General features: G+C 41.0%; 1 long non-coding RNA gene across 2 annotated transcripts in view, besides 1 other annotated feature; it reads right to left on the reverse strand.

Annotated features, from left to right (window-relative positions):
* Positions 1–25,645, reverse strand: part of LOC105379013 (uncharacterized) — a 406,546-nt gene that overhangs the window by 234,300 nt on the left and 146,601 nt on the right. The gene's annotated exons all lie outside the window — the stretch shown is intronic.
* Positions 18,945–20,144: an enhancer, noted in NCBI's record as "CDK7 strongly-dependent group 2 enhancer chr5:67975383-67976582 (GRCh37/hg19 assembly coordinates)". NCBI's record gives its function as "activates an origin of replication core promoter dependent on BRD2, BRD4, P300/CBP, MED14 and CDK7 cofactors, with strong dependence on CDK7, by STARR-seq in HCT116 cells {active_cell/tissue: HCT116}" and the evidence as "EXISTENCE:reporter gene assay evidence [ECO:0000049][PMID:35650434]".

Here is a 25,645-nt window from a genome sequence, read left to right on the forward strand (position 1 = left end):
GTCTGAAACTTGGGAGTTGGATTTATAACAGGACCTCCTGTGACTGCAACCACTTGGAAAGGCATGATGGGAAACTGGGCTTTCCAGTTTAGCCTTGGAGCCAAGGACAGGTGCAGGACGGCTTATTACTGTTCCAGGACAGAACTTGGGACCCAGTAGCTCCTTTGGCCCCAGCCTCTCGGTCCTGCACTGTGGTGTGGCCCTCAGCCCTCCCGATAGTGAGGACTGCACCCCCACCCTGTTCCCTTCATGCCTCAGGCCTTCCAAGTTCCGACCCTGCAATTGGATGACTCTGTCTGCCTCACCTGTTTCCATGCGTTGTATTTCCAACCAGGCTAGTAAATTAACAGTCTCCTAGGAGATCTCTTTTTCTGACTCTCTTCTTGCATTTCTACTTCCCGGATCCTGCATCGGATCCTACATGGCTCTATAGCAATCCCATAAAACCCAGCATTTAATCTTGGTCTAGTTCCTTCTATTGTCTTCAACTCCATGCTTCCACTTGAAGAGAAGCTAACGCAGCAGTAATTTTCAGCCTTGACTGTGAAAAAGAATCACCTGAGAGATTTCTGACTCAGTAATCTATGGGTAGGGCACTAGGATTTGCACTTCCAGCATGTACCTCGGGGACCGCCAGGACCTCTTTAAGAAACCCAGTAGGTAGGCAGTCTGGGCACTTCCTATCACCCTTCACCCTAACTGGGCCCTGTTAATGCTAGAGATACTCTTTCTCCTAATTACTCACAATGACTATTCAGCAGACATCCTTAGGAAACTCTAGGCCTCTAAGCCGACAATTGCTCTCACCAGAACCACTGCCCTCAGCTGGCCCAGTCAGGAACCACAGCTCTAAGACACACTCCCTGCTCTTTACCCCAATTACCTTCTTGCCCTAAAACAGATTTATCTTTGAACTGTGTATTTTTGCACTCAGAAAAATAGACATTATTATGCTGCCTGCTCACACTCTGTTTATTCACACCAATGTAATTTTTATTAAAATAATGTTTGCATATATCATTTGTAAATGTGTTTTAGATAGTAGGCATACTTTGAAATCTCTTTCCATCACCCAACTTGTAGAAAATAATTTCACTAACACCCAGCTAATCAATATTTCTTCTTCAAAAACATAATAAAATGAAATTTGGCTTGACATCTATGAAGCTGGTACAAATTAGTGAGAATTACCACCACCTGGCAGAAAAGTGGCTAATAGACATGGTGGAAGGTGTCCTGGCCATTTATAAGCAGAGTCTGGTGGAGGCGGCCACATAGAACCAAGTCCAGTGGAGGCAGATGATGGCTGGTTTGGGAGGGGTGCTGGGAGACTGTTTTCCTCCAGCCCTTGGGACACGGGCATGCTTGTCTTCACTTCTGAGGATGTCAGCAGCTGCTTTGGCCGAGAGTACAAGTGGTCTTACGTACAAAGCTTTTTTTTTTTTTTTTTTTCCCCACAGAGCCTTGAAAGAAATCAGAAGAGATTCTGAGGAGGTAGCTAAGGAATCCCAGATCACCTAAGAGTTTGGAAAGAAGAAAGAGGGCATGGCACACCCAGGGGAATGACGCCTCTGCACCCCAGCCTGGCCTCACAAGCACTGTAGTGGTTATATACGAGGCTCTGGGGGCTTTCTGCTGGAATCCTCCTCCTGCTCTGCCATGACCAGTTGTGATTCTGGGCAATTTACTTAGTCTCTGTCAGCCTTCCCCATCCACTGGAGGAGAGATAGTTTTAACTCATGTCACTGTGATAACTGCACTGATGACATCAGGTATTTGACACAAAGTAAGCATTCAATAAACATGCCTTTTTTTTGTTGTGGTAAAATAGACATAATAAAATTTATAATTTTGGCCATTTTTAAGGGTATGGTTCAGTGGCATTAAGTACATTCACATTGCTGTGCAACCATCACTACCCTCCATCTCCAGAACATTTTCATCATCTCCAACTGAAACTTTATTCTTTTTTTCAATCCATTAGCTGGATTTAGTCACGTTTATAAATTTCTTTATATGGTGTCTAACACGTTAACTATAACATCAGGAAACACAGGATCCCATTTTAGCTTTTGGATTTTATTTTTGAGCAATTTATTTGTAGGGATTGATATTACATTGCTTTTACTTTTTCTTAGAGGTCTTCCAAATAACAAGAGAAAATTTACTATTTAAAAAATAGAATAAAAGTCAATCTTGCAATTTTTGTAAATCCAAGCTATATTATGGAATCTTAGTGATTTTCTTTTTCTTATATCTTGAAACATTTTGCTATTCATCATTCTAGTCATCATTTGATCATTACTCACCAATTATTCCCAACTGTGTTTAAAAACACTAAAATAATGTGAAATGGAAAAATGATATAATTTCATAAAAGGCTGATGCAATAATGAACTAAACTGTGGCTATTACATCACCTTTTAGTTTTCCTGCTGTCCTGCCCCAAGTATTGTAGAATCATTCAAGAAGGTTTAGGAGAACAGTAAAGACACCATCTTTGTAGTTTCTTCTCATCTTTTATACACAACTGAGCATCCATAATTTTTATTTTCCAACCACAATGGCAAAGATAAGCAAATTTACAGAGGAAGATGTTTCATATTATTAAACAAATCATAAGATTAATGCAAAGAGATTTCATATAAGCAAAATTTTAGACTGTGAGTTTTCAGATGACAATATCCTAAGTGAATTTTTCCAAAGTCTAGAATCAATAAATGGACACTATATTTTTAAGGACAAAAATGAAATATCGTGTCCTCAATGAGTTAGTAACTCAACAGGAAGAACTTTATCATGCAGTGTTCTGTGATCAGAACATAGACCATCCCGTTTTGAAAAAAAAAAAAAGTAATAATATTCTTTTGTCTCTTATGTGGTTGTGCACCAAAATTTGCTTAATATGGGTCATAAGTGGACTAGGTGGGTGTGTACTGAAAGGGGAATGGAAGAAAATAATGTGGAAACCAAAACAATCAATTGAATCATTCTAATTGATAAAACATGAAAATGTTTTGCAATTATAGAATGAAGATGTGAGTCCTCTTTTAAACAAATCATGAGCCACAGTTTTTAAAAATATTTTATTTTGATGATATAACTGCAAGAAGATAAAATTAGAGGTAACGATAAGCTAAACTTTTAGAGATGGACTTGAAATTTGGAATCAATGCTGTATTTCTAAGACCAACATGTTCCAGAATCATGCATGACAATTGATCACCAGTTAATGGCATTCGAAGGAAGTTGCCCAAAAATTGTAGGCATCAATACCTTCTACACCAGGAAAATATGGTAAGAAAAACTGGAGTTTGCTATGTTTACATTTTTATTAAAATTTTTAATAAAGTTATTTTTCATAATATATCTGGTCTTCTGTAAATTACTCATAAAATGACTAAAAAATATAAAAACACAAAAAGGGTCCATTGGACACAAATGGTAAATGGTGAGAACTATTCTTGGTTTACCAAGGATTAAGCACTCAATAAAAGGTCATTGTTATCACTGTTACCGTCATCAGAGTTCACAAAGTTTTATCCGGTCCTAGACTTATTCTGAAAAAGAAACCACATCCTATGTTCCATGGAACAAAAAGGACTCCTAAGCACCAGTGGGTTTGAGGTATCCTGCTACCACAGCCAGGAAAGGGTGTCCCGCATGCCTTCCCATTGCAGCATGAGAAAGGAAGACATATGGCCTGATGCGGCCAGTCATGAGGTGAGCCTTCTTCCTGGTGGGTATGCACAGCCTGCAGGATGTATCACTGACCACTCTCCCCGGCTACTACCCACCTCTACGGATTTACATGGAACTGTGCAGCCTTCCCTGCTTTTAAGAGCTCAAACTTTTAAAAAGAGTAGAAGAAAAATTTGTAGCCCAGTGGTTCCTTTATTCCTTCTGATGTTTAGGCTGTGACTTTGAAAGATAAAGACTATGGGAAGTGACCATCTGGCTACAGGAGGGAGTGTCCATAAAAGAATCATATAACTGGACCAGGAGTGGTGGCTCATGCCTGTAATCCCAGCACTTTGGGAGACCGAGGCAGATCACTTGAGGCCAGGAGTTCGAGACCAACCTGGGCAACATGGCAAAACCCCATCTCTACAAAAAATATAAAAATTAGCTGGGTGTGGTAGCATGTGCCTGTAGTCCCAGCCACTTGGGAGGCAGAGAGGGGAGGATTGCTTGAGCTTGGGAGGTCAAGGCTACAGTGAGCCATGATTATGCCACTGCACTCCATCCTGGGTGAAGACTGAAAATCTGTCTCGAAAAAAAATTAAAAAAACCCGAATACAAAAAGGACATCCAGGGGCTCAAAGACAGAAAAATAGTAAGAGAGGAATCTCCCTACTAATTCTGAAGAGTAACATCTGAGAAAATGAGTAAAGGAGAAAACAGAGCTTCAGATTTCTATGTATCAATTAAAAATAGATTTGATTTTTTTGATTAGTAAATGTTACCCCCTGGGTTTGTCCAATCTAAGAGAAAGCTTCCCAGTCATAAGAATAATCCCCCCAGTGGAGACAAAAATGACCACAAGACAGTCACTAATACCCATGTAGGCAGATATTCAAGTATTGGCCAAAGGATCACGTGAAAATATGCTGCAAAAGCTATTCCCAAGCTGAGAGGGAGGAAACCTGAATCCCCTCAAGGTTTCTTCCATCTCAATGCAGGATAACATAATAGTTAAAACAAAGGGTCTTGGAATCAGAGTGTCCCAGCTCAGCGTGTACTGAGGGACACAGTTTAACCTTCCTAAACCTAGCTTTGACCATTTATAAGTGGACCAGCTGGGGTTGCGGGGAGAATGCTGATGACAGTGGTACCCACCTGTACTGGTATGCCCGACAGATCCCCTTACACCCTTCACTATTCTTTCTGCCCCAGGAGACTGACCTGGATGAAACTCCTCAGCAGCCTCCCTCTTTGAGTCCAACAGCCTGCCCTGGTTGTATCCAACAGACTCCTGCCCCAGAAAGAGACTGGAGGAAGAAAAGAGTGAGTGCAGGCTGTTGATGGCCTCAGCTCCTTGTGCGGTCCTATCTGACTGGCTGTGTCCTCCAACTGAAGGTCACTGCTGCTCTCAAGGCAGCCCTATCTGCATAACTCTTTCCTTCTGGATTCTGGAACCTCCTCTCTTCCCTCAATGCTTCAGGCCTAGAGGTGGTAACCAGTTCTTTGTCACTAGCCTGGGACACTGCACTATCTCTTATGGATCCTTACCACAGGTCTTACTCTATAAACACTCCAGTTACCAAACCGCCTTCCAATTATCCTACTTGGAGTGGGCATCTGTGCTTGGCTGGGACCCTGACTCTACCTCAAAGATAACTGAGAGGATTAAAAGTGGTATTGCACATAAAATACCTGGCACTTAGCAAGTAACCATTACAATACTATTATTATTCTCCTTTCTCTGATCTCTCACTCCCCTTTTTCACCCATGGTTAATCCTTCTAGTCAGCTCCTCTTCTGATTCTTTAACACAGGAGTCAGCACACTTTTTTCTATAAAGGACTAAACAGTAAATAATTTAGGCTTTGTGGGCTACACAGCCTCTGTTGCAACTGCTCCCCTCTGTCACTGAAGAACTAAAGCAGCCACCAGCCAGCAATGCTTAAATGAATAAGCATGACTGTGTTTCAATCACATTTTATTTATGAGCACTGAAATCTGAATTTCATATCATTTTCATGGGTCATGAAATATTATTTTTCTTTTGATTATTTTTCAGCCATTTGAAAATGTAAAAACCATTCTCAGCTCACAAGTTGAGCAGTAACAAGTGGTGGGCAGGACTTGGCCTACAGGCCACAGTTTACCAACCCCTGCTTCAACAGAGTTCTAAGATTTAGCATTTCTGCTATACCAGAGAGCTTTTACGCCCCAGATTATGATTCTATATTTTTCCTATTTTCCTTGTTTATAAAAAAAAAAAAACCTCTAAAAATTCATTCTTTGAAGCCAAAGCTTGCTTGCCCTTTCCCATAATCTTTGCCAACTGGCTTTTGAAATCCCCTGCCATAGCACATTCAAACCATCCCCTCTATCATACCTTCCAGGGGCAATGTCCTTGAAGCTGTTCCCACGCTAGAAACCCATTCCAGCACTTTTCATCTAGGAAAGGGCACATCCAAGACTATCCCAGTGTGATTCACTCCATGGAAATAATAACAGGAACTCTGCTGTACTTGGGAAAAGGCTGGCCTGGGCAATGCTGGAGAGAAGGTGAGGTTTGTCTCTGCAGGACTCCACCCGACTGTGCCCACCCTGGGCTTGCACACATGTGGGGCCTTTACCAGCCTTGTGATGATGCCCCTCCATCCCTTTCTCATAGGACCAATCTGAACACTCTGCAAAAACGCAGGTCAGATGCTAAGGCATATTAACCTATTCCAACAGACATACAGTGCTGTGTAAGAGTCTTGAATTTTAACATGTCTTTTCAAAATAACCTAAAGCAGTGGTTCTCGAGCTGGCTACGTGTTAGAATCACCTTTTCCAGCATTTAAAAATGCCAGTGCCACCAGACCATGATTGAAATTTTATCTGCAGTTTTAAAAAGCTACCCAGGTGATTCTAGTGCAAGGTGAGGGTTGAGGGTCATGGACTTTGACGAATGGCTGAGGGAGCTATTTTCAGACAACTGAAGGAGGCCAGGATGCATCCATTCAAATCATGGTTTCTTTTAATTTTCCTTACTGTCCCATGCAAAGCTTCAGAAAAGAAGGCAACTGGGAGGATAGGATGAAAATAAACATTATTGTGCATCTAGTTTGCATTTGGATTTTATTCATTACTTTTCATTTGTGTATTCATTCATATAACATCATTCATTAAGCTACTACCATGTGCCAAGCACTGCAGATACAAAGATAAAGAAGATAGGCATGATTTCTGTCCACATGGAGTTTATATTCATATAGTGGAAAGAGTGGGGGGAATTGAACAACTCATTACACAATTATTATTTAATGGCAATTGTGGGAATTCTTATAGAGTTCAAAATGCACCTTCTGAGGAAATCTCACTTAATTGGAGAAGATCAGGGAAGGCTTCCTTGAGGAAGTGGTACTCTGGCTGAGCTCTAATATGATCGTGAGTCAACTAGACAAGAATGGGGAAGGCAGTGGGAACTACATAGGCAAAGGCCCTATGGTGGGCATACAGGAGCTTGAAGCTTTTGAAGAGCTAAAAGGCAGCAGTGTGGGTGAAATTCAGAGAGCAAGGGGAGAATGCTAGGGTGGATTAGGACCGGGTCGGACAAGGCATTGGAGGCCTTATTAAGACACATGTTATCTCCTCTTCTTCATTAACGCCGTCACTTTATGAACTCTGAGCATTAGCGACACGCTCAAGATTCCATCACTGGTAAGAGGTAAGGCCAGCACTCAAACCCACTTCTGCCTAACTCCATCTGTGGTTCCATCCATCTCTGCAGTTCCCGCCACCTCCAGGGGTCAGATGTTTCACCAGAAACAGAAATTATAAATCAAAGCTGAGTTTCTATATAGAATCTCTCCACACAGAAATAGAGTATCTATGCTTGCGTATAGATAGGGAGGAACAAAAGGAACAAACTAGAAAGGATCAAAGATACTAACTTTAGGGAAACTGACCTTCCTTCATAAAGGAAAAGGTTTGCCTGCATCTCCTACCCAGTTCTTTGCAGAATTCAAAAGGGCTCCTATTGCTGGACCTTAGTACAGGTCAGTGAGATAAATCATTCATTGATTACCTGGTATTTATTGAGCGTTTATGTGTCAAGTTCAAGAGACACCAATGAAAATACCAGATCCTGCAGATCCTGACACTTGGGGAATTTAGTCTTTTCTAGAAGAGAGTAGAGATGCAATAAACTTAGCCAAATTCAAAATCAGAAATTCCTAAAGGTTAATAGGAGATTAGAGAATAGAGTAGTAATCTCTTATGCTTAATATTTATGTCTATCAGAGTTAATTTATTTCTCCCCAACTCCATCATCCCAATATTTTTCAAAGATGACCACACAAAAATGGCAAGATCAATAAAAATCACCAGTTTTTAGTAGCTAGGAATATCACATTATGAATAAGATTTAAGCAGTGGGCTAGGACATTCTGGAACATGATCAATGAGGGAAAATTGAATAAATCTTAAAAAAAAAAAGTCTGACTCTGTTCCAAAATCAAAGATGTACATGAGATTGATCCAGTCCTCTTCCAGATGGTTTGAGGAAATCTGAGCTGAGTCCTTGAAGTAATGGTTAGTCTAAGATATATAAAATGAGCAAATAAAAAACTTCATTAAAATCCTAAAATAAAACTGAAAACTCTGCAGCAGATGGTATGGATCATAGATAAATGTCTGACAAAGGCAGTAATGATTATTTCTTATCAACAACAAGGATTTGGGAGAGAGACAAGGAGATTGAGTTATAGGAAATACAGTATTGATTTTGAAAATGAAAGTAAGATTGATTCTATCTAGCACTTCAGGTAATCTTCAATCTCTATTAAAATATTCAGTTTGATTCTAACAATTGCGGAGTCACCTCAGCAGACTTTCTTGACATCCAGGGCAGGTGGTGGGAAAAGAAGTGTCCATCTTCCCATTTTTCCTCAAGAATCCCTAACAGGCAGTCAACAATGTGCCCAGAGCACTCCCACCTCATGAGGCTGAAGGACCAGCACACTTGCTCCTGAGTGAAATCTCCAACATTCTCCAGGCTCCAACACATGGTTAGGGGAGACGGCTGAGTGGGAAACCCCTGCTAAACACCACACATCAGTATCCCAGCCACCAAAAGCACACTGCAGTTGTGTGTGTATGCCTGCATGTGCACACGTGTGTGTGTGTGCACACATGTGATGTTCACATCATCAGCTATCCTCCTTTCTTTTAGGATTGATTTCTCCTGCCCTTCATTGCAGCCAGAACATGGCAAAAGAGAGCAAGAAACTCTAGCCATCATAGCTCATCAGAGGCATCTTCCAATATAGCCCCCAAACCAAGATCTGGAATTTCTGCCTTGTCATCTTTGGAGATCCCTAAGTCAGAGCCGAGTCTAAGAACAGACTTCTCTTTCTCCCTTTCCAGAACCCTTCAGAGGCCATTGCCCCTCACATTCCTGCATTCACCCTTCCCTCAAGTAAGATGTTAAAATGTCAGGAGACGAGAAGAACTTTGCTTTAAAGGAAAACAAATCTTTACCATACAACACTTAATGCCAGCCCCATCTCCACCAACTTACTCTTACTATTATAACATAATATAAATCCCTTTCTCCTCTTCCCCTTTATGTGATCTGCCAATGTGTCAGCTCCCTAGTTTTGAGGGTATTGTAACTATCTCTTCCTCACGTCCATTGTGATGAATGTGCTGGGTGAGCTGTCAGCTGCCTTTGATGTGTAACTCTGTGTTCTAGACCCACGACTCAAAGCTTGGTGCCTGGATGAACAACGTCAGCATCACCTGAGAGTTTGCTGGAGAAAGAGAATCCCGGGCCCCACTCCAGACCTGCTGAATCAAAATCTATTTTAACAGTATTCACTAGGTGATACTAATGCACATTAAAGGGAGTTCTGACTAAACTGCAAGACACTTATCACGTCCCTGAAAACAGGTTGGCAGTAAGTCGCTAAAGGTTAACTCTGTCACTAGAGTGGGATTTTATAAAGAGATAGAGGGAAAATATAAGGGAGAATTGTTGTTACTATTTACAGCTTACCAGAATTTATGTCCCTTATATGAAGCACTTAGACTCAATGAGATCATGCATATACATGGTATAAGCATCAGAGAAGCTCAAAGAAAGGAGAGCCTGATGTGGGATTGCCAGTAGGGGGGAATATCACGGAGAAAATAGAAATTGAACCAAGATAAGTGGGTAAGATCTTGTGACAATCACTACACGGGAAATTTCTAAATCTAAAACAGATAGTTGTCAGGTAGCACTTACCAGAAATGTAAAGTTCTGGTAGCACTTATCAAAACTTTAATAAATTATGTTATTACTTTCACTTCACTTTAATAAATCATTATTACCATGAATTTTCTCTGAGCATTAATAAAACCAGGAGGGTGATGGTGATGGGTGTCATGGAAACAACAGGGTTTGGTGTCAGATGGATCTGGCTCTAATTCAGCCAGACTGTGTCATCTTGAAACAGTTACTTTCCCTTGCTGAGCCTCATTATCCTACTGAAACATGAAAATAATACCTGAGGATTAAGTAAGAGAAAGTATACGACTGTTACCAATATAGCGTCTGTGTCTGTAGCATAGTAGGCAGTCAACCAGTATCAATCTACCTTTCTCCTCTCTTCCCTCTGGCACAGAGTTGGCCCCAGACAAATGTTAACTAAACCTGGACCTAAGTCAGCAAGTGCAATCCAGATTAGTAAAGTCCTGAAGAGTTTAGGCTTGATGCAGCAGGAAGCAGGAGTCATGTGCAAAGACAAAAACAGTATTTCAGGAAGGCCAGCCTAGCAGTGGTATTCAAAATAGAAGAGAGAGGCAGGTGATGGTCAGCAGTGAATTGGTAAGCTCATTGAAAAGACAACCATGTAAAGGACTTTGGGCCAGGCTTTCAAGGCACACCTGACTGCAACTGTGTTGGTCATTTGTCCCTTTGCTCTCAATTCCACTGTCCTCACTTCCCCTGCTCTAATCTGTACTTTTAGGAACTGGATTTCTTGTGAAGTGGCTTCCAGGTAAGATCAGCCAGTGGGAGGCTCACCAGCTCATCAATGGAAGAGGGGAGATGCTAAGATTTGTGTCTTTTCATCTCCCTGCCTGGGTAGCATCTTAGGCAGCGCTGTTTCTCTTGAGACCTTCAACTCCAACAGGCAGTCCTCTCCTCTGTTCTCCCAGTTCCCAGCTCTGCCCGGTAACCTGAGCTGGGCTGTGGAACACTTCCCCCTCCTGTGCTTCAACCATGCTAGAGTGGAAGGATCTTCCAGCCATTGCCAACCTCTGTGGTACTTCACCATCTCCTCTTTGGCTTCTCAGTTTTAGCATCACCTGAGTAACTAGTTTCCTGTATTATATTTCCCCTACTGAATGAACAAAAATGGTTTATATTCCCTGACTAGACCTTAATTGACGATATCTAAATCAAAATATATTTCAGATTATTTCTGTATGACTATGTAGGTTTCTAAATCTTCGAAGATATACAAAATAAAAGCCTCATAATGATTTATCTGCCACTGAAAAGGAGGAGAGGAATTGGGCTTAGAATTCTCCAACCAAAAAACTCTAGTAGATCCATTAAAGCAGGGTAATTATTAACCTGTGAATGTAGTGATGTCCATAGGCATGTCATTTAATTTAGCATTTGCAAGCGTGATCTGGAAGGGTGAATAACAAATGCAGAAATTATTGGGAAGTATTGCAAATACCCAAAAGGAGAAGGAAATAATGTTTTAAAACCCAAACTGGCAGTTACAGAAGTATGTGCAGGATACAGTTATGGAATTGATAAAAATGCATAGCTGGATCAAATAGCAAAATGAGATGCTGCCTGAAAAAATGTATGGTTGGATAGGTAAGAGAAAGTAATCAAAAACACAGATACTCCACAGGAAGGAAAAAAAAAAAAAAACAAGAAATGAATATAGGGAAGAAGACTGAGGAGAGACAGTGCAAACTTAGATCTAATTTGGAAATATGATGGAAAGAACCTGGTTATTTTGAGCTTTAAGTATAGACACTTTATGTTGTTATTGTTTTTTTGAATGATGTTCTTTCTCTCTCCAACCTCCATCATGCCTTTCAATTTATACAGTATTTATTAGGCCATACCTACCATACCTTACCCAATTTTGCATACCTCAATAACAAAAATGAGAAAAATAGTAAGAATTGCAAGATCCTGGGGAAATCAAATCTGAAAGATAACAGGCTGGAGGACACAACTGATAACAGGAAGTAAAAAGAGCCACATTGGCTGAGCAATCATATTTCTAGCACAGACAGAATCACAGAAAATTAGGCATATTGTGTGGGAGAAACAAATTCCAATTAAAGAATAGATTTCAGTGTTGACCTAATTATCTAATGTCCAGCTCTCATTTTTATGGGATGAAGCCAGGCATGTAAAATAAATTCTTGGAGATAAATCTATGCTTTCTAACAAAGAAAATTACTTCTTTCTCCGTGAAACTCCAGATGATCAGAAAACAATACCCTAGTATATTATTTTTGCTCAGTTTGAACCTCAACTATCACTTATATAAGGATAATATTGATTTCAAGGGGTTCAGACAATGTATTTCTATGTGGTCAAGAAGGGATTCCTTTTGGGAAAACAGAAGTTCAAAAGGAGAACAAGAACTCTCAATTCTGAAAGCACACAGCCACCAATAAAATTCACTTGCTCCCTAGTAAATTATTAGGTCAAAGAAGAGTAAAGGATTAAAGCTAAATACTTATAGCTCCTTGTTAAACTGGGGCTGTTATAATCTAAGAATTCATGAGAAACCATTTTCAAACTTAGAAGCGGGTGGGAGAGAAGCAACTATAGTCAACTGTAATATAGTAAGGATCTGTCACATGATCTAATTACAGAAATGAAAGCAACCCAGGAATTATGTGGTCTATTCAAGCCTGCAAGGAGTACGAACAAAGAATATAATTATACATCAAGCCTGTTGATTAAACAATTACTATTTAAAGCAGATATAGATTTAAAATTAATTTGCTTCTGCATTCTGAGGATTTGGGGACTGAGATAAACAGTGTTTGAAGTTTAATTATCCGTGCGTAAGATGAAGGGGCTCATTTCAATTTGGTTAGCTCTGCAGAGTGTTTTGGATGGTGTAAAAGAATGAATCCGACTCTGCTGCAAGTCTCGGCACTGCTGAAATGTGTGATTAAAGTGAGCAAGAAGGCTCACTCAGCCTAATTCCCACAGAATGTGGTAATATCACAGGAGGGATTGTGCAATTGCAAATTAATATTTAAATGAACACTAGTTTGAAGTTTACCTGGAGGGTGAAACACACTATCTCCAAAAGAACAGAAGAAGGCCAACCAAACAGTTCCAGGCTCCACAGCAGTGAAATCTGAGGAGTGGAGACCTTCACGCTTGTTTGAGCAAATAGGACACCTACCTGCCAGCGACTCTGAATGGAGTGATTCTTATCAGAGGCCACATGTACAGTGTCCCACGGCAGAATTGCAGGGCTGAGGGGTGGGCAGGGTGAAAGGGTGAATTGGAGTTGGAGTAAAAGACAATAAACAGAGACTAGAAAATTCCAAAGTTAAAGAGTGATTGTCGAGATGCAAGGAACCGTGTCTGTGTTCCCACACCGAGATCAGAACGTGTGGGGACAGAATTCCCAGAACTCAAAGCCGACTCAACAGCTTCCATGAAGGGAAGGTGTGCTCCTGACCTGGCTGTGCTCGAAAGAACAGAAGGATGCCACAGAGTGTCCTGGTTCAGAGAATGGACTTCAGAATGAGAAAACTGAGTTTCATTCCCAGCTCTACCACTTTTCAGTCTTGTGACCTTAGCAAAGCATTCAGCTCTCTCAGAACCTTCTGTTTCTTTAGTAAAATAGCTTTCATTCCTTCCTCACGGTAGTTGCAAATATTAAATATGGTAATGAGGGCAGCCTAAGAGTGTCCTTTCCCTACTGAAAACCACTCTGTGGCTCATCACTGCCTTTTGGATAAAAATAAATCTCTTTAGCATGGCCTGTAAGGCCCTAAAACGGGGTGATGCCCACTCACGTCACCTGCCTCTCTTGTGTTCTCTTCCCCAGCATTTTCTCCACCCCGGCCTCACTGGCATTTTTCTTTTTTCAGTCCTTTATTCTCTCTTCTGCTTTCAAGGCATGTTCATTGCTTTCCCTCTTCCTCGGAACATTTTTCCCTCCCCTCTTCACCCAGTTGACATCTCTTCATTCTTTAGATCCCACTGCTAGTTGTCCAAGGTGGTAATTAAAAGCTCAGGCCCTGAAGACAACACGTTGTGTTCAAAACCCAAACTCCACCACTCACTCTCTGTATGACTTTTGCCCATGTAACATTCAGCTTCCTTCTCTGCAAAACAAGGTTGATCACTAGTACTTACATCATGATTTTGCCATAAGGGCCACATGAGTTAATGCAGGCTATGGTCTCAGAAGTGAGTCCAGTTCAAAGGAAGCATTGGAAAACTGCTTTTGTAGTCCTCCAAAAGATCTCCCTTCCCCAGCACCTAGCACGCTTGCAACGTTATGTTTGTGTGATTGTTCTAATACACCTCTCTTCATCATAACAAAGGCTCCACGGGGGCAGGAGTTTGCCAGTGTTTAGCCCACATTATAGATTCTGTTCCTAGTAGAACAGACACTCAAATATTTGCTGAGGACTAAACCAATGAAAATGCTGAGCACAGTGCCTGGCACATAGTGGGCCTCAATGAATACTAGCTTTTAAATAACAACTTACTGACAATGCCAATTGTTAAGTGAAAAAAATTCTGACTATTATTATTTACTTTGCCCAGTGGTTCTCAACTGGAAATGATTCTGTCCCCCAGGCAATGTCTCGGGGTGGTGGGAGTGCTACTGGCATCTAGTGGATAGACACCAGGGAGGCTCTAAACATCCTACAACGCAAAGCACAGTCCTCCCACAAGAAATTACCCGGCACAAAATGGCAATAGTGCCAAGCTTAAGAAACTCTGAATTTTGCCATCTGTCATTTTTCTCTGATGGCTTAATTTACCAGTTGAATTATAGCAACAGATCGGCCTAAGGTAATTATTCTTGCCCTTTATCCTGTTATTCCTATGGGTGCAAGGTCACCCCTGCTTCTCCCTCACTCCCCTAAACTCTACTGGCCTATCTCTCTCATTCCTCCTCATCCATTTGCCAGGTGTGAGATGAAAATGTGGGAACATGGGTAAGGCTGAAGGAAAGTGCACACTCAAGACACCCTTCCCCATTTGTTCACTCTTCTCTGTCACCCATGTATTCCTATTTTCCAAAGAGCTTCCAACAGGAACAAAATGTGAGCACCACTACTTGGCTTTCCAGACAGTGCTCTATTTCAAATATTACGTTTTTTAAAAAGTTTATGTAGCCCATAAAATAGGTCAGGGGCCAACATGTACAATCCCCTGTGTCTAATACAGAGATCACTCTAAGGCAAAAGAGAATTCGCTCCACCAATAAACACAGTGTTCAAAAATTATCAAAATGTAACATTACAGGAATGAGTTACAGGATCTGACAAAAAGCAGAGTAATAGAACAAAATTATTCCAAAGTGGCAAGCCAGATAATGTCGAAAGCTCCAGAACATGCAAACGTTAGAGGTTAATATCAAATTTAAAACCTAATATTTAATCAATTGCATAAAATGATGTGCACAATGGTTAAAAGTATGTTAAATGGAAATTGCAAGTGTTGGCTAAGATGTGGAGAAACTGGAAATGTCCTATACTGTTGGAGTGAAAATTGGTTCAGCCACTATGAAAAACATTTCGTTGGTTTCTCAAAAAGCTAAAAATAGAACCACTTTACAGACCAGCAGTTCAACTCCTAGGTCTATACTCTAAAGATCTGAAAACAGATACTCAAATAAGAACATGTACATGCACATTCATAGCAACACTATTCACAATAGCCAAAATGTGGAAACAGCCCAAAGGTCCATCAACAGATGAATGGACAAACAAGATGTGGTATATCCATACAATGGAACATTATTCAGAATATTATTCAGCTATAAAAAGGAAGGAAGTACTGATACATGTTGCAGCCTAGCTGAACCTCCAAAAACAGTATGCTAAGCAAAAGCTCACATACTGTAAAATTCTATTTATATTAAATATCCAGAATAAATAAATCCATAGAGATGGAATGCAGATTGGTGGCTGTAGGTGCTGGGGGAAGAGGAAAATGCAGAGAAGTGCAGAGAAACTGTTTAATGGGTAAGAGGTTTTACTTTGGAGTGATGAAAATGTTTTGAAACTAGAGAGAGGTAGTGGTCGCAAAACACTGTGAATGTACTACATGCCACTAAATCATTCACTTTAAAATGGTTAGTTTTATGTTATGTAAATGTGATCTCAATAATTTTTTTTAAAGTATGTCAAAACTATGCACACAAAACTGACAAACACCAAAAGAGAGGATGCTTCAAAATGGAAATAAATGTGGGAGCCTGGGGGAGTTATAAGTGATTTATTTTTACAGTTTTAATCTGACCTATTTTTCTGAAGTAATACATATTAGTTATAAACATTTTTAAAAATACATAAAAGCACTACAAAGGATATAGAAGTCACTATCAATAATATTTCCAGTTTTAAAAAATATTTTTGGAGAGGGTACCTGGATATGAACCCAAAATATTTTTTAATGTCAATGTTAAATTTCCTTTGAAATTAAAAAACCACCAAAAAGAACAAAACCAAGACCTTATGCATTAAGGAAGACAAATCCATACAGCTGAACATTGATTTCTGCCAAGGGTTTTGCTATAAGCCTATTTCTCTCGGTGGGCAGAAGCGAGGCTGGGAAACCAAGAGTTGTAGGGGGGTTGGTGGGGAAGCAGACAAGTCTGTGACTTTTTGGCTAAGGCCTTTCTTCCATCCTCCCATCCATCCCAGACCAGCATGTCTGGCATTCATCAGGCTGGCAAAGCCTGGTCTCTGTGGGACAGAATTTGAGAAAGTCTCCTTCTCCCTGTCTGTGCTGTCAACTCTCCATGAAGAAAACTAGAATATCCATTTCTCTTGCCTGCCTGGCCTCTTCCCCTGCACACAGCAATGGTCTCCACTAATTATTACTACTGTAAAGCTCTAGGAATGAGGAGATGGGAATTTAGTACCCTTGACCTCCTGAAGATCATTATTTCCAAAAGATTTGCAAATGATAGTGTAACCATAAGTCCCTTCTCCAATTTTTCTAAAGCTTTTTGAGCATAAACATAAATAAAATAATAAGAAACAAAAACAGGAACAAAAATTTGGGGTTTAGCTCAGTGTAGAACAGATAAGTCAGTAGTGAGTCAACCACTTTCTATCAAGGGCCTATGTTGTAACTAACTACTATCAACTAAACGTTTGTGTCCCCCCAGAATTCATATGCTGAAACTTAATCCCCAATGTGGTAGTATTTGGAAGTAGGGTCTTTGGGGGTGATTATGTCATGAAGGTGGAGTCCTCATGAATGAGATTAGTTCCTTTACAAAAGAGACCCTAGAGAGGTCTCTCACCCCTTCTGCCATGTGAGGACACAATGAGAAGACAGCCATCTAGGAACCAGGAAATATGCCCTCACTAGACATCAAATCTGTAGCATCTTGATCTTGGACTTCTCAGCCTCCAGAACTGTGAGAAATAATTTTCTGTTGTGTATAAGCCACCCAGTCTATAGCATTTTGTTATAGCAGCCACAACAGACTAAAACATCAGCACTAGGGTGGTATTGTTGCTAAGAAAATGCTCAAGAACACCATCCTGATTCACAGATTCAGAGCTTTTGTATTTAAATAGTCACTCTGCCTTAACCTATCAATGGCCTCTTTTGCAGTTCAGTTTAATCATCCCAGCTTCAGATGCAATATCCTCCTCTTCTTTGAGAAATTGCTTCTCTTGTTCTTGCAACACTGCCCTGAGTGATGCACCTCACTTCTTGAAAAGAAGACCAGAAGATGTTAAAGATATGTAAGTGCCCTAAAAAGATTCCCTCCCTAAAGAAACTTGTAGAATCAAAAGAGCTCCAGAAAAATAAAAAAGGTAAAAGCATCAACTTTCGGAATTATTGATGTTGAAAACAAAGTCTAGTGTATTTTCTATATATGGAGCATCCCATAGCTGATCTCTCTGACATGGGAAGGCTATCCCATAAATGATGGAAGGTACTGATTCCTTTCCATTTCCTTAGGGAATTTAGCATTAATGGTCTCCCTGAAAAGAGTTGCTTAAGGAAAAATGACCACAAGCAAGTACATAGAAAATGCCTAGCCATCTGGCCTTGCCTTAACTTCTTGCTGTGCATTTTATGCAGACACACAAAATGCCCTCAGCAAGGTTCATCAGAGTAGCACAATCAAGAGAGGTAGGGGGAAGGAGAGGAGAGACAAATAGTCGAATAACCCGTATTCTCTTGTTCTGTCTTGCCATAAACATACAGACATGAGATATCAATACAAACATAAAAAGAAATGAGTTCTGCTCCTTATACCAAGCATAACACTTCAGGCTCTACTTTTCTTCAGATTTTATGGTTTCTGTCTCAACCCAAAACCTGCCCTGGCCAAGACTTTGGAGGTCGGTTGCCTAAAATGGACCCTGATTGTTCTCTGGGGTATACAGAACCAGCTGTGGGTCCGAAGTGAAGATGCTGCAGAGGTGGAATTCCAGGTCCTCAAAAAGGTATGTTTCCATAGAAACTAAAGCAAGTGGCCACCTGATATGAAGGACTCATACCTCAAGCTCTGAGAAAACAGAAAGTCAAAATGCCCTCATGAAAAGTTTGGTATCATTGAACCAGAATACTCTGCCCTGCCTGTAAATATTACCAAATCCAATTCTAGGTGGCTTCTTCTGAAACAAGGCAAGTAATCAGGATTTATTCAGGTCAACATCTGGAAGCATGCATGTTCCACACAGTTAACTCTAAAAAAGGGAAGTTGTGCCCTAGGACTTTACCCCACCCACCCCTCCTCTACCAGCCTAAAAACCTTCATGGTACAATATGTCTCTAAAACCCCTTAAGATAGCATCACAAAATTAGACAATGACTGGCAGCAATTATCTCCCAAACTTACCAGACTTGGGGGTTTTTTTAGGGCAGAAAGCAGCTAATGGCCATGAATACTTCATTTAGCGCTTCTTTTTTCTAATGCATTGCAAGACGTTCACTCTCCAGCGCTGGACTCTGCCAAGTATCCCATCTCAATTTCCCATTCAATTTCTAGAGAAATTCCATCCAAATCTTTTATAAGTCCTGCTCAAATGTTCAGAGTTTGCAAAGTACTTTCAATAATTCAGTAATCCAGTGCCCTTCCCCCAAGTCACAATCTAAACAAAGATGGTTGTCCTCTCACTATTAACACTCACTTTGCAGAAAAAGACCCTTGAGGCCCTAGGGAGGTTTACAGCTAGTTGCCAGGATCTTTCTGAAGTCAGAAATGAAGTGCAAGTTTAGACTTTTAGATCTACACCCCAGGACTTGTCCCACACAAACACAGAAGGGACAGCTGACTCCACTGGTAAGGTGAGCAGTGATAGTACTATCTTTTCTTTTGGTCTGTGATAATTCTTGAGTTTCCCATCAGTGTTACTCCTTGGGAGTCCTTCCTATACAGACAAAGCCTATATTGAAATGCTTTAAGGCAGCAGTCCCCAACATTTTTGGCACTAGGGACCAGTTTCATAGAAGACAATTTTTCCATGGACTGGGGAGGGGTTTGGGGATGGGGAAAGGGCTTGGGATGAAACTGTTCCACCTCAGAACATCAGGCATTAGATTCTCATGAGTGTGCAACTTAGATCCCTCACATGCACAGTTCACAATAGGGTTCACGCTCCTATGAGAATCTAATGGTGCCGCTGGTCTCACAGGAGGAGGAGCCCAGGAGGAGCTTACCGGTACCAGTCTGTGGCCCAGGGTTTGAGAATCCCTGCTTTGAGGTTTTGCTCAACAGGGTAAAGTCATGTAAGTTTTACCTGGTAGACTGATAGGTGTTTCTTTATCTGGAAAACCTGGTGTCACCGACAAAGAGAACAAGTCTGGAACAACGGGACTCAGGACAAGTAAGTTTGGATAAGTAGGCTGAAAAAACAGAGGAAAACAGTCCAAAGTATGAGGTTATCTAGGACCAGAATACATGAAATAGTAAAAGGAATAGCAATGGGGGTTGGAGAAAGGGAATTAGAGTAGCAGACACTTGGCTGGCTTTGAAATAGAGCAAAAGGAACAGAGGAAATGAAAACCAGACTTGGCTGAATTTACAAAACTGCCTGAGGCCAGCACTGCTTCCCAGGGGAGGAGAGACCAGTGGAAAGGGTGATCTGGCTGTTTTTAGGGTGATGTCTTTGATACCCTAACCTCATTGGCACCACTCCTCAGGGAATGATAAGCCCTCAAAGAGCTGTGAGACTGGGAGTGTCAGGAGCAGAGCAGGAGCAGGAGAAAAACCTAGGAAACATCAGAATTTCTCCAGGCTGGGAGGAGTGGAGTGGGGCAAAGGTCTTGGAGTTTCCCATTGGGTAACCATGCCCAGGCCCATCTCCTGGGGAGGCAGGTGTGCCTGGCACAGTTTAAGTTGTGGCTGAGCATCTGTAAGTGCCTATCTAAGACCATCTGGGATCTCTGATCTCCTAGGGAAAGAAGCATGTGACAAAGAACTGGCAACATCAGATGGACCTGTCCTGACTCAGACATGAGAAATATGTTCATCAATTTCACCGACCCATCCTGCTGCTCGTCTCTCTCCCCCATCTCCTTCTTGGTGCCTTCTAGGACTGTCAAGAGATATGGTTTACTTCTTTGATAAAATGTAGTTATTTAGTAATCTATTAATACACCTTACTTCAAAAAATATTTTTAAATTAAATATGAAAAGACATCAGCGAGTTTTCCTCTACATCCAAACACTTCTCCAATTTTAGCTTCACAATTTCCCACGGTCTCACTCTTCTTTTCTGCGTTGCCCAAACCTTCATGCCGATCTCTGACTGCTTTAGTTTCTATCAGGATCCACCCACAAGGGACACGGATGGATAATCCTGCCCTTTCCTGACAAGCTCTTCTTATCACCAGCCCTTACCTGTTCTCTGGTCCATTCCCTGAGGGCTTTGTTCAGTGCTATCTATTCTGGTAAATCAACCCATGCCAAGAGGAAACAGTTGCTTAGACTTTGTAGAGAGAATCAAATGAGAGAAATCAATACACACAGGTGAAGTCTTAATATTATTTCTATCAGTATATTAGTCCTCACAGTCAATAAACTGACATTAGTAGGGACTCTCAGAACGTTAATCTAAATGAGTGTCTCTGTTCTAGGGAATTTCAAGCATCAGGGCAGGCTGGAGTTAGGGAGAGGCAGAAAGGAGAGAGGCTGCAGCTTTGGGCTCTTCTCCACTCACATTTTCTAAACCAGCTGCCCACTCCCCCTGAGGTTGCAGCCCATCCTATGGCCAGACCACATTTTGCTTCATTCACTTGCATCCACAAAAAGCCTAGATTGATCTATAGTTAATAACATAAACTGTTCAGAGGATACAAGAGCAGTAATGAATAGGTAGTACCCAATTATGGAAAATAGCATTTCTTTGGGGCAAATGTCCTACAAAATCTCCCAGTTGGGAAGAAATCATTCTTCAGGGACTCATTCCCCTAGACAGGGGCAAAATTGCTTTTGTTGTGGGGAGTCAGCACTGCCACTGTCCAGCTCTGTGAGATGAGACAAACTGTTTAGTATCTCTGAGTCTCAGTTGCTTTATGTATAAAATGAGGACAAATACACCTATCTCATCAGGTTGTGAGGATTCAATTTAATATTATGCAATATGTGCAAACCATGTAACTCAAGGCTTGTTACATAGTAAACAAGGGAAAATTGTAGCAACCACAGCAACTATTCCTACACATTTTGAGAGGGGGAATATTTGGCCTTCCAAAGGTACTTGAAGATAACTATGTGATATTCACATTATTAAAAAAATTAAAAGGCATAAAACTAGGAAAATAATTTGGGCTTGAGAATTCCACATTGCCCTTTGAGACAACTGGCAAAACCTTGAAATGTCTCAACCTCAGGGATAGGAATTTCTACACTAGAGATAGACATTACCTGTCTGGCAGCTCCCGGAGACAGAACAGAGGGCCTGGCCACCCCTGGAGAAGACTTCTCCCTCCCACTAAGCTAAGGGCATCCCATTCCCTGTCCTTTCCCTCACCTCACCCTTTTCCACCCACCAGCTCCCCTCCCAGCTGTGAGAGCCTGCAAGAGCCTGCCTAATCTGAACTTGGAGACTGCTCTTTTGCCTTTAAAATGCCTTGCCCAGCTTAATCAGTAACCAGCGATCCTCTAACTGCCAGTTAGTCTCCTGCCCTGACATGAGCTCCTTCTCCTGCCAGCCGGCAGATGTGACTTTTTTAGGAAGATTCAATTCCCAGCCTTTGCCCTTCCTGCCAATGACAGCTTCCCTCTTTGAAGGTTACCTGTCGCTAGCATTCTTGCGCATGAATGCAAACTAAAGTGGGTGCTTATCCTGACCTTGAAGAAGCACATCATTCTGTATATGAGTTCTAAAAAAGCACACTTGACATTTGCTGTCTTATGTGTGTCAGGACTGAGAAAAGGAAGCCCCACATGGCGGGATACCCTCTTAGGTCCACAGATCTGGCTTGTGAATGGCACTTGTCAACTAAATCTTGCAATGATATTCAGCAGGCATGATGTGGAGGAAATGTTAATGAAATCCTGCCTAACTGAAGGAACACATTTGAATAGAATCAAAGTCATATGTGGGATTTTTTTTCTCATATACTGTCTTCTCTGCATACATTAACCTTTTGCCAGCTTTAAAAAAATAAAAAGACATAAAACTAGAATGATTCACTCATTCAATCATTCTTCAAACACTTATGGAGCACCCATTATGTACCAGACCCTGGTACAGGGAATAAAATATTGAATGAGACACAGATTATTTTAGGCAAATAATCTATTATTCAGCATTTTATGGTGAGAACCCAACTTCTCAATTTGTTAAAAAAACAAAGTATTTCAAATGACCCTTTGCTTCATTTTAAAATAGGCAAAGGGAAAGGCGGGGCTCTTAGAAAGAGCAGAGTGTTACATTAGCTAAGTCATGCTGTGGACTTGTGAAAATTTTTTGAGAGGCAATAGCATGTTGAGTTATGGGAAACAGACATGCAAGCAACCAGGATGGATGGGATGATCTTGGACAGTCTTTCAGGAGAGTGCCTAGACATGCCATTGTTTGTGAAATTGTCTTTCAAACAAGAAGAACCTATAATGGCAAAGTTAGGCTAGCCCTCCCTTGTCCAGTCTCTTCCTCACTGCCTGACACCACTGATAGAGAAATTCAGCTGAGCACTGCTCTGCTGATAGTGGTGTGAGGCACTCCATTTAGCAGAAGCTTCCTGATGCAGAGTTTTTAGAGAACTCAAGGACTTGCTCTGTCATCATCATAAGTGCATGTTTCCATCGCTGAGTCAGAAGAATGAAATCGGAGCTGGACCAGACACAAATGGGTGAGTCAAAAGAAAGACTTGCTGCAGAGCAAGCCCCACTGCTGCTAAGATTGCTGAGGTGTGGTGTGGAGCAGCTCAGCAAATGCCTAGGGCCCATTCATTCATGCAACAAATGGATATGAAATACCTCGTGTGTTTTGAGAACTGTCCTAGGTACTAGGGACAGAGCATCGAACCAAACAGACAAGGCCACACCCTCGGGAGGCTTATATTGTAGGGAGAGTGACAATAAATGAATGGTATCATTTAAATTATTAAAAGAGTGAGGAAAAAAATAAAAGATGAGCTAAAGAGTAACCTATAAAAAAAGACTTACATTGGTCCAGACTGTATTGCAGACAACAGAATCCACTCTAGCTAGTTTAAGCAGAAAGGAATTCCATACAGGGAATTCAGTGATTACAAAATTGTTAAAAGGACTAGAGGAGGAGGCTCTAGACTGACCTCTCAAGAACAATCCCCCATCTATGCACATTCTAAGAAACTGTTGTATGGTGACTTCTGTTGATATCTGGGGTGGGGTGGGGGATGCTGTTGTATTAGGGAAGGTACTACACCCCTGCTGACTGCAGAACCATACTAGCCCCCAGTGCAATCAAAATAGCAGACACTGAATCAAGAAGCTGCCTCTTCCTGCTACAAGTCACAGCCACAGCAATGACTACTTGCTCCAGACTCAAACCACTTCTGCCACAATCCATGCCAACACAATGACACTTGGTCCCATCAAAATGGAGATCCTGTGAACCACAATATCGATGCCTTGCATTTTGTTGGGGGAAACTGAATCATTTCTAGTACCCAAGCTTCAAGACAGTCTGGAAAATGCGGGTTTTAGCTTTGCATTCTTGACATGGGATAAGGGAGTTTGAAGGGATGTTAGACTACCCAATCCATAGTAGCTACCAAACCACTTTGAGAAAGATAGTCAGGGCATGCCTCTGTGGAAGGTGACATTTAAGCTAAGACCACGTGAAGGACTGACAAAGAAACAGTCCAGGAGACACAACAGCAACAACTCTGGACTTAGTAATTGGGGGCAATAGAGAACTTAGAGAAGTTAGCAGAAGCTAAATCAAGCAAGGCTTTGAAGATCATATTTAGGAGTTTGGAGTTTATTCAGAATGCAAGAGAAAGTTTCATGAAGGAGACTGGCAAAATCTGATTTGTATTTTTAAAAGAAAATTTCATCCGTAAGGTGAAGAATGAATTATCAAAGGGCAAAAATTGAGCCAAGGAAGAAAGACAGAAAATTATTGAAGATTAGAGATGATGGTGCCTTGGGCTAGATGTTGTCTGCAGAAATAAAGTTGACACTTTCTCTGTGTGTTTTTTAGGGAGAATTACAGGGTTTCAGAAGGAATTAGATGTGAGGAGTTACAGAAAGAAACATTCAGGATTGCTCTCGTATTTCTAATCCAAACAAAGGGTGGGTGATATTTCATTTGCTGGATTGAGGAAGAGTGAGTAGAACATGTCTACAACTGACCAAAACACACAGTTCTTGATGTTTAAAAGAGATCTGTCATGTAGACAGGATGGAGGTAGACACAACCAGAAAGCTTCAGGCTTTGCTCTCCCAACTGGCCGCTAATTTAATTCTTCAGAGTATTCCTGAGGTTCTGGAGAAGTGGGTCTCCAACTCTATGTACCTAAGATTCTGACACAGGTGGGATCCATATTTAAAGACATGTGGAGCAGTGTAGAATTGTTTGGGGGGCTGGTATCTAATCTTCATGAGGAATGAAAGTCATAAAATAAAGAGTTCATTTGGAGATAAAAAGCAGAGTTCTGAAAAGTGCTATAAATTTAGAACAGTGGCAAATCAAAGCCTCGTGCTGCCATTTTGGCACAGCAAAATAATCCTAAGGTCACCTGCCCCCATGCCCTTCCCTTTCTTACCTCTATTCATTTCCACCACTAAAATATTTCTTAGAATCACTTGCATAGGATGCTTACTGGGTTTTTAGGAACTAATAATTAAATGATGAAATGATGTCAAAAAACAAAATGTAGATTACTGTCTCTTTATAAATATAAATGCTATAAATGATCAGCCTGGGAGTCACTCTTTACTTGGAAAAACCACAGCTCTAGACGATGCTATAATGTCTTCAACAAATAAATAAACCAACAAGAATTTAAAAGTCTCAGCAAGAGACAGAAGGAGAGGCCATGCCTGAGCCCTGCCTCTCTTAAGCAACCAGAGCTCTTAGAATAGCTCTGTTGCTGGGGCAGAAGCAAATCATCTTTTCCTCTCCCTGAGTATTAAATCTTCCACATGTCTTTAATACTCTCCATGAGCAGACCAGTGCCAAAGGAGAAAAAGATTTAATTTCATGTTGCTAGGTTTTCACAGTTCTGCAATTAATAAAGAAGTAAGTTCAGTCAGCTGGCCTGTTAGAAAAGTAAAAGGAGAGA

Source organism: Homo sapiens, chromosome 5 (genome assembly GCF_000001405.40).
Source record: "Homo sapiens chromosome 5, GRCh38.p14 Primary Assembly".
Lineage (NCBI taxonomy): Eukaryota > Metazoa > Chordata > Mammalia > Primates > Hominidae > Homo > Homo sapiens.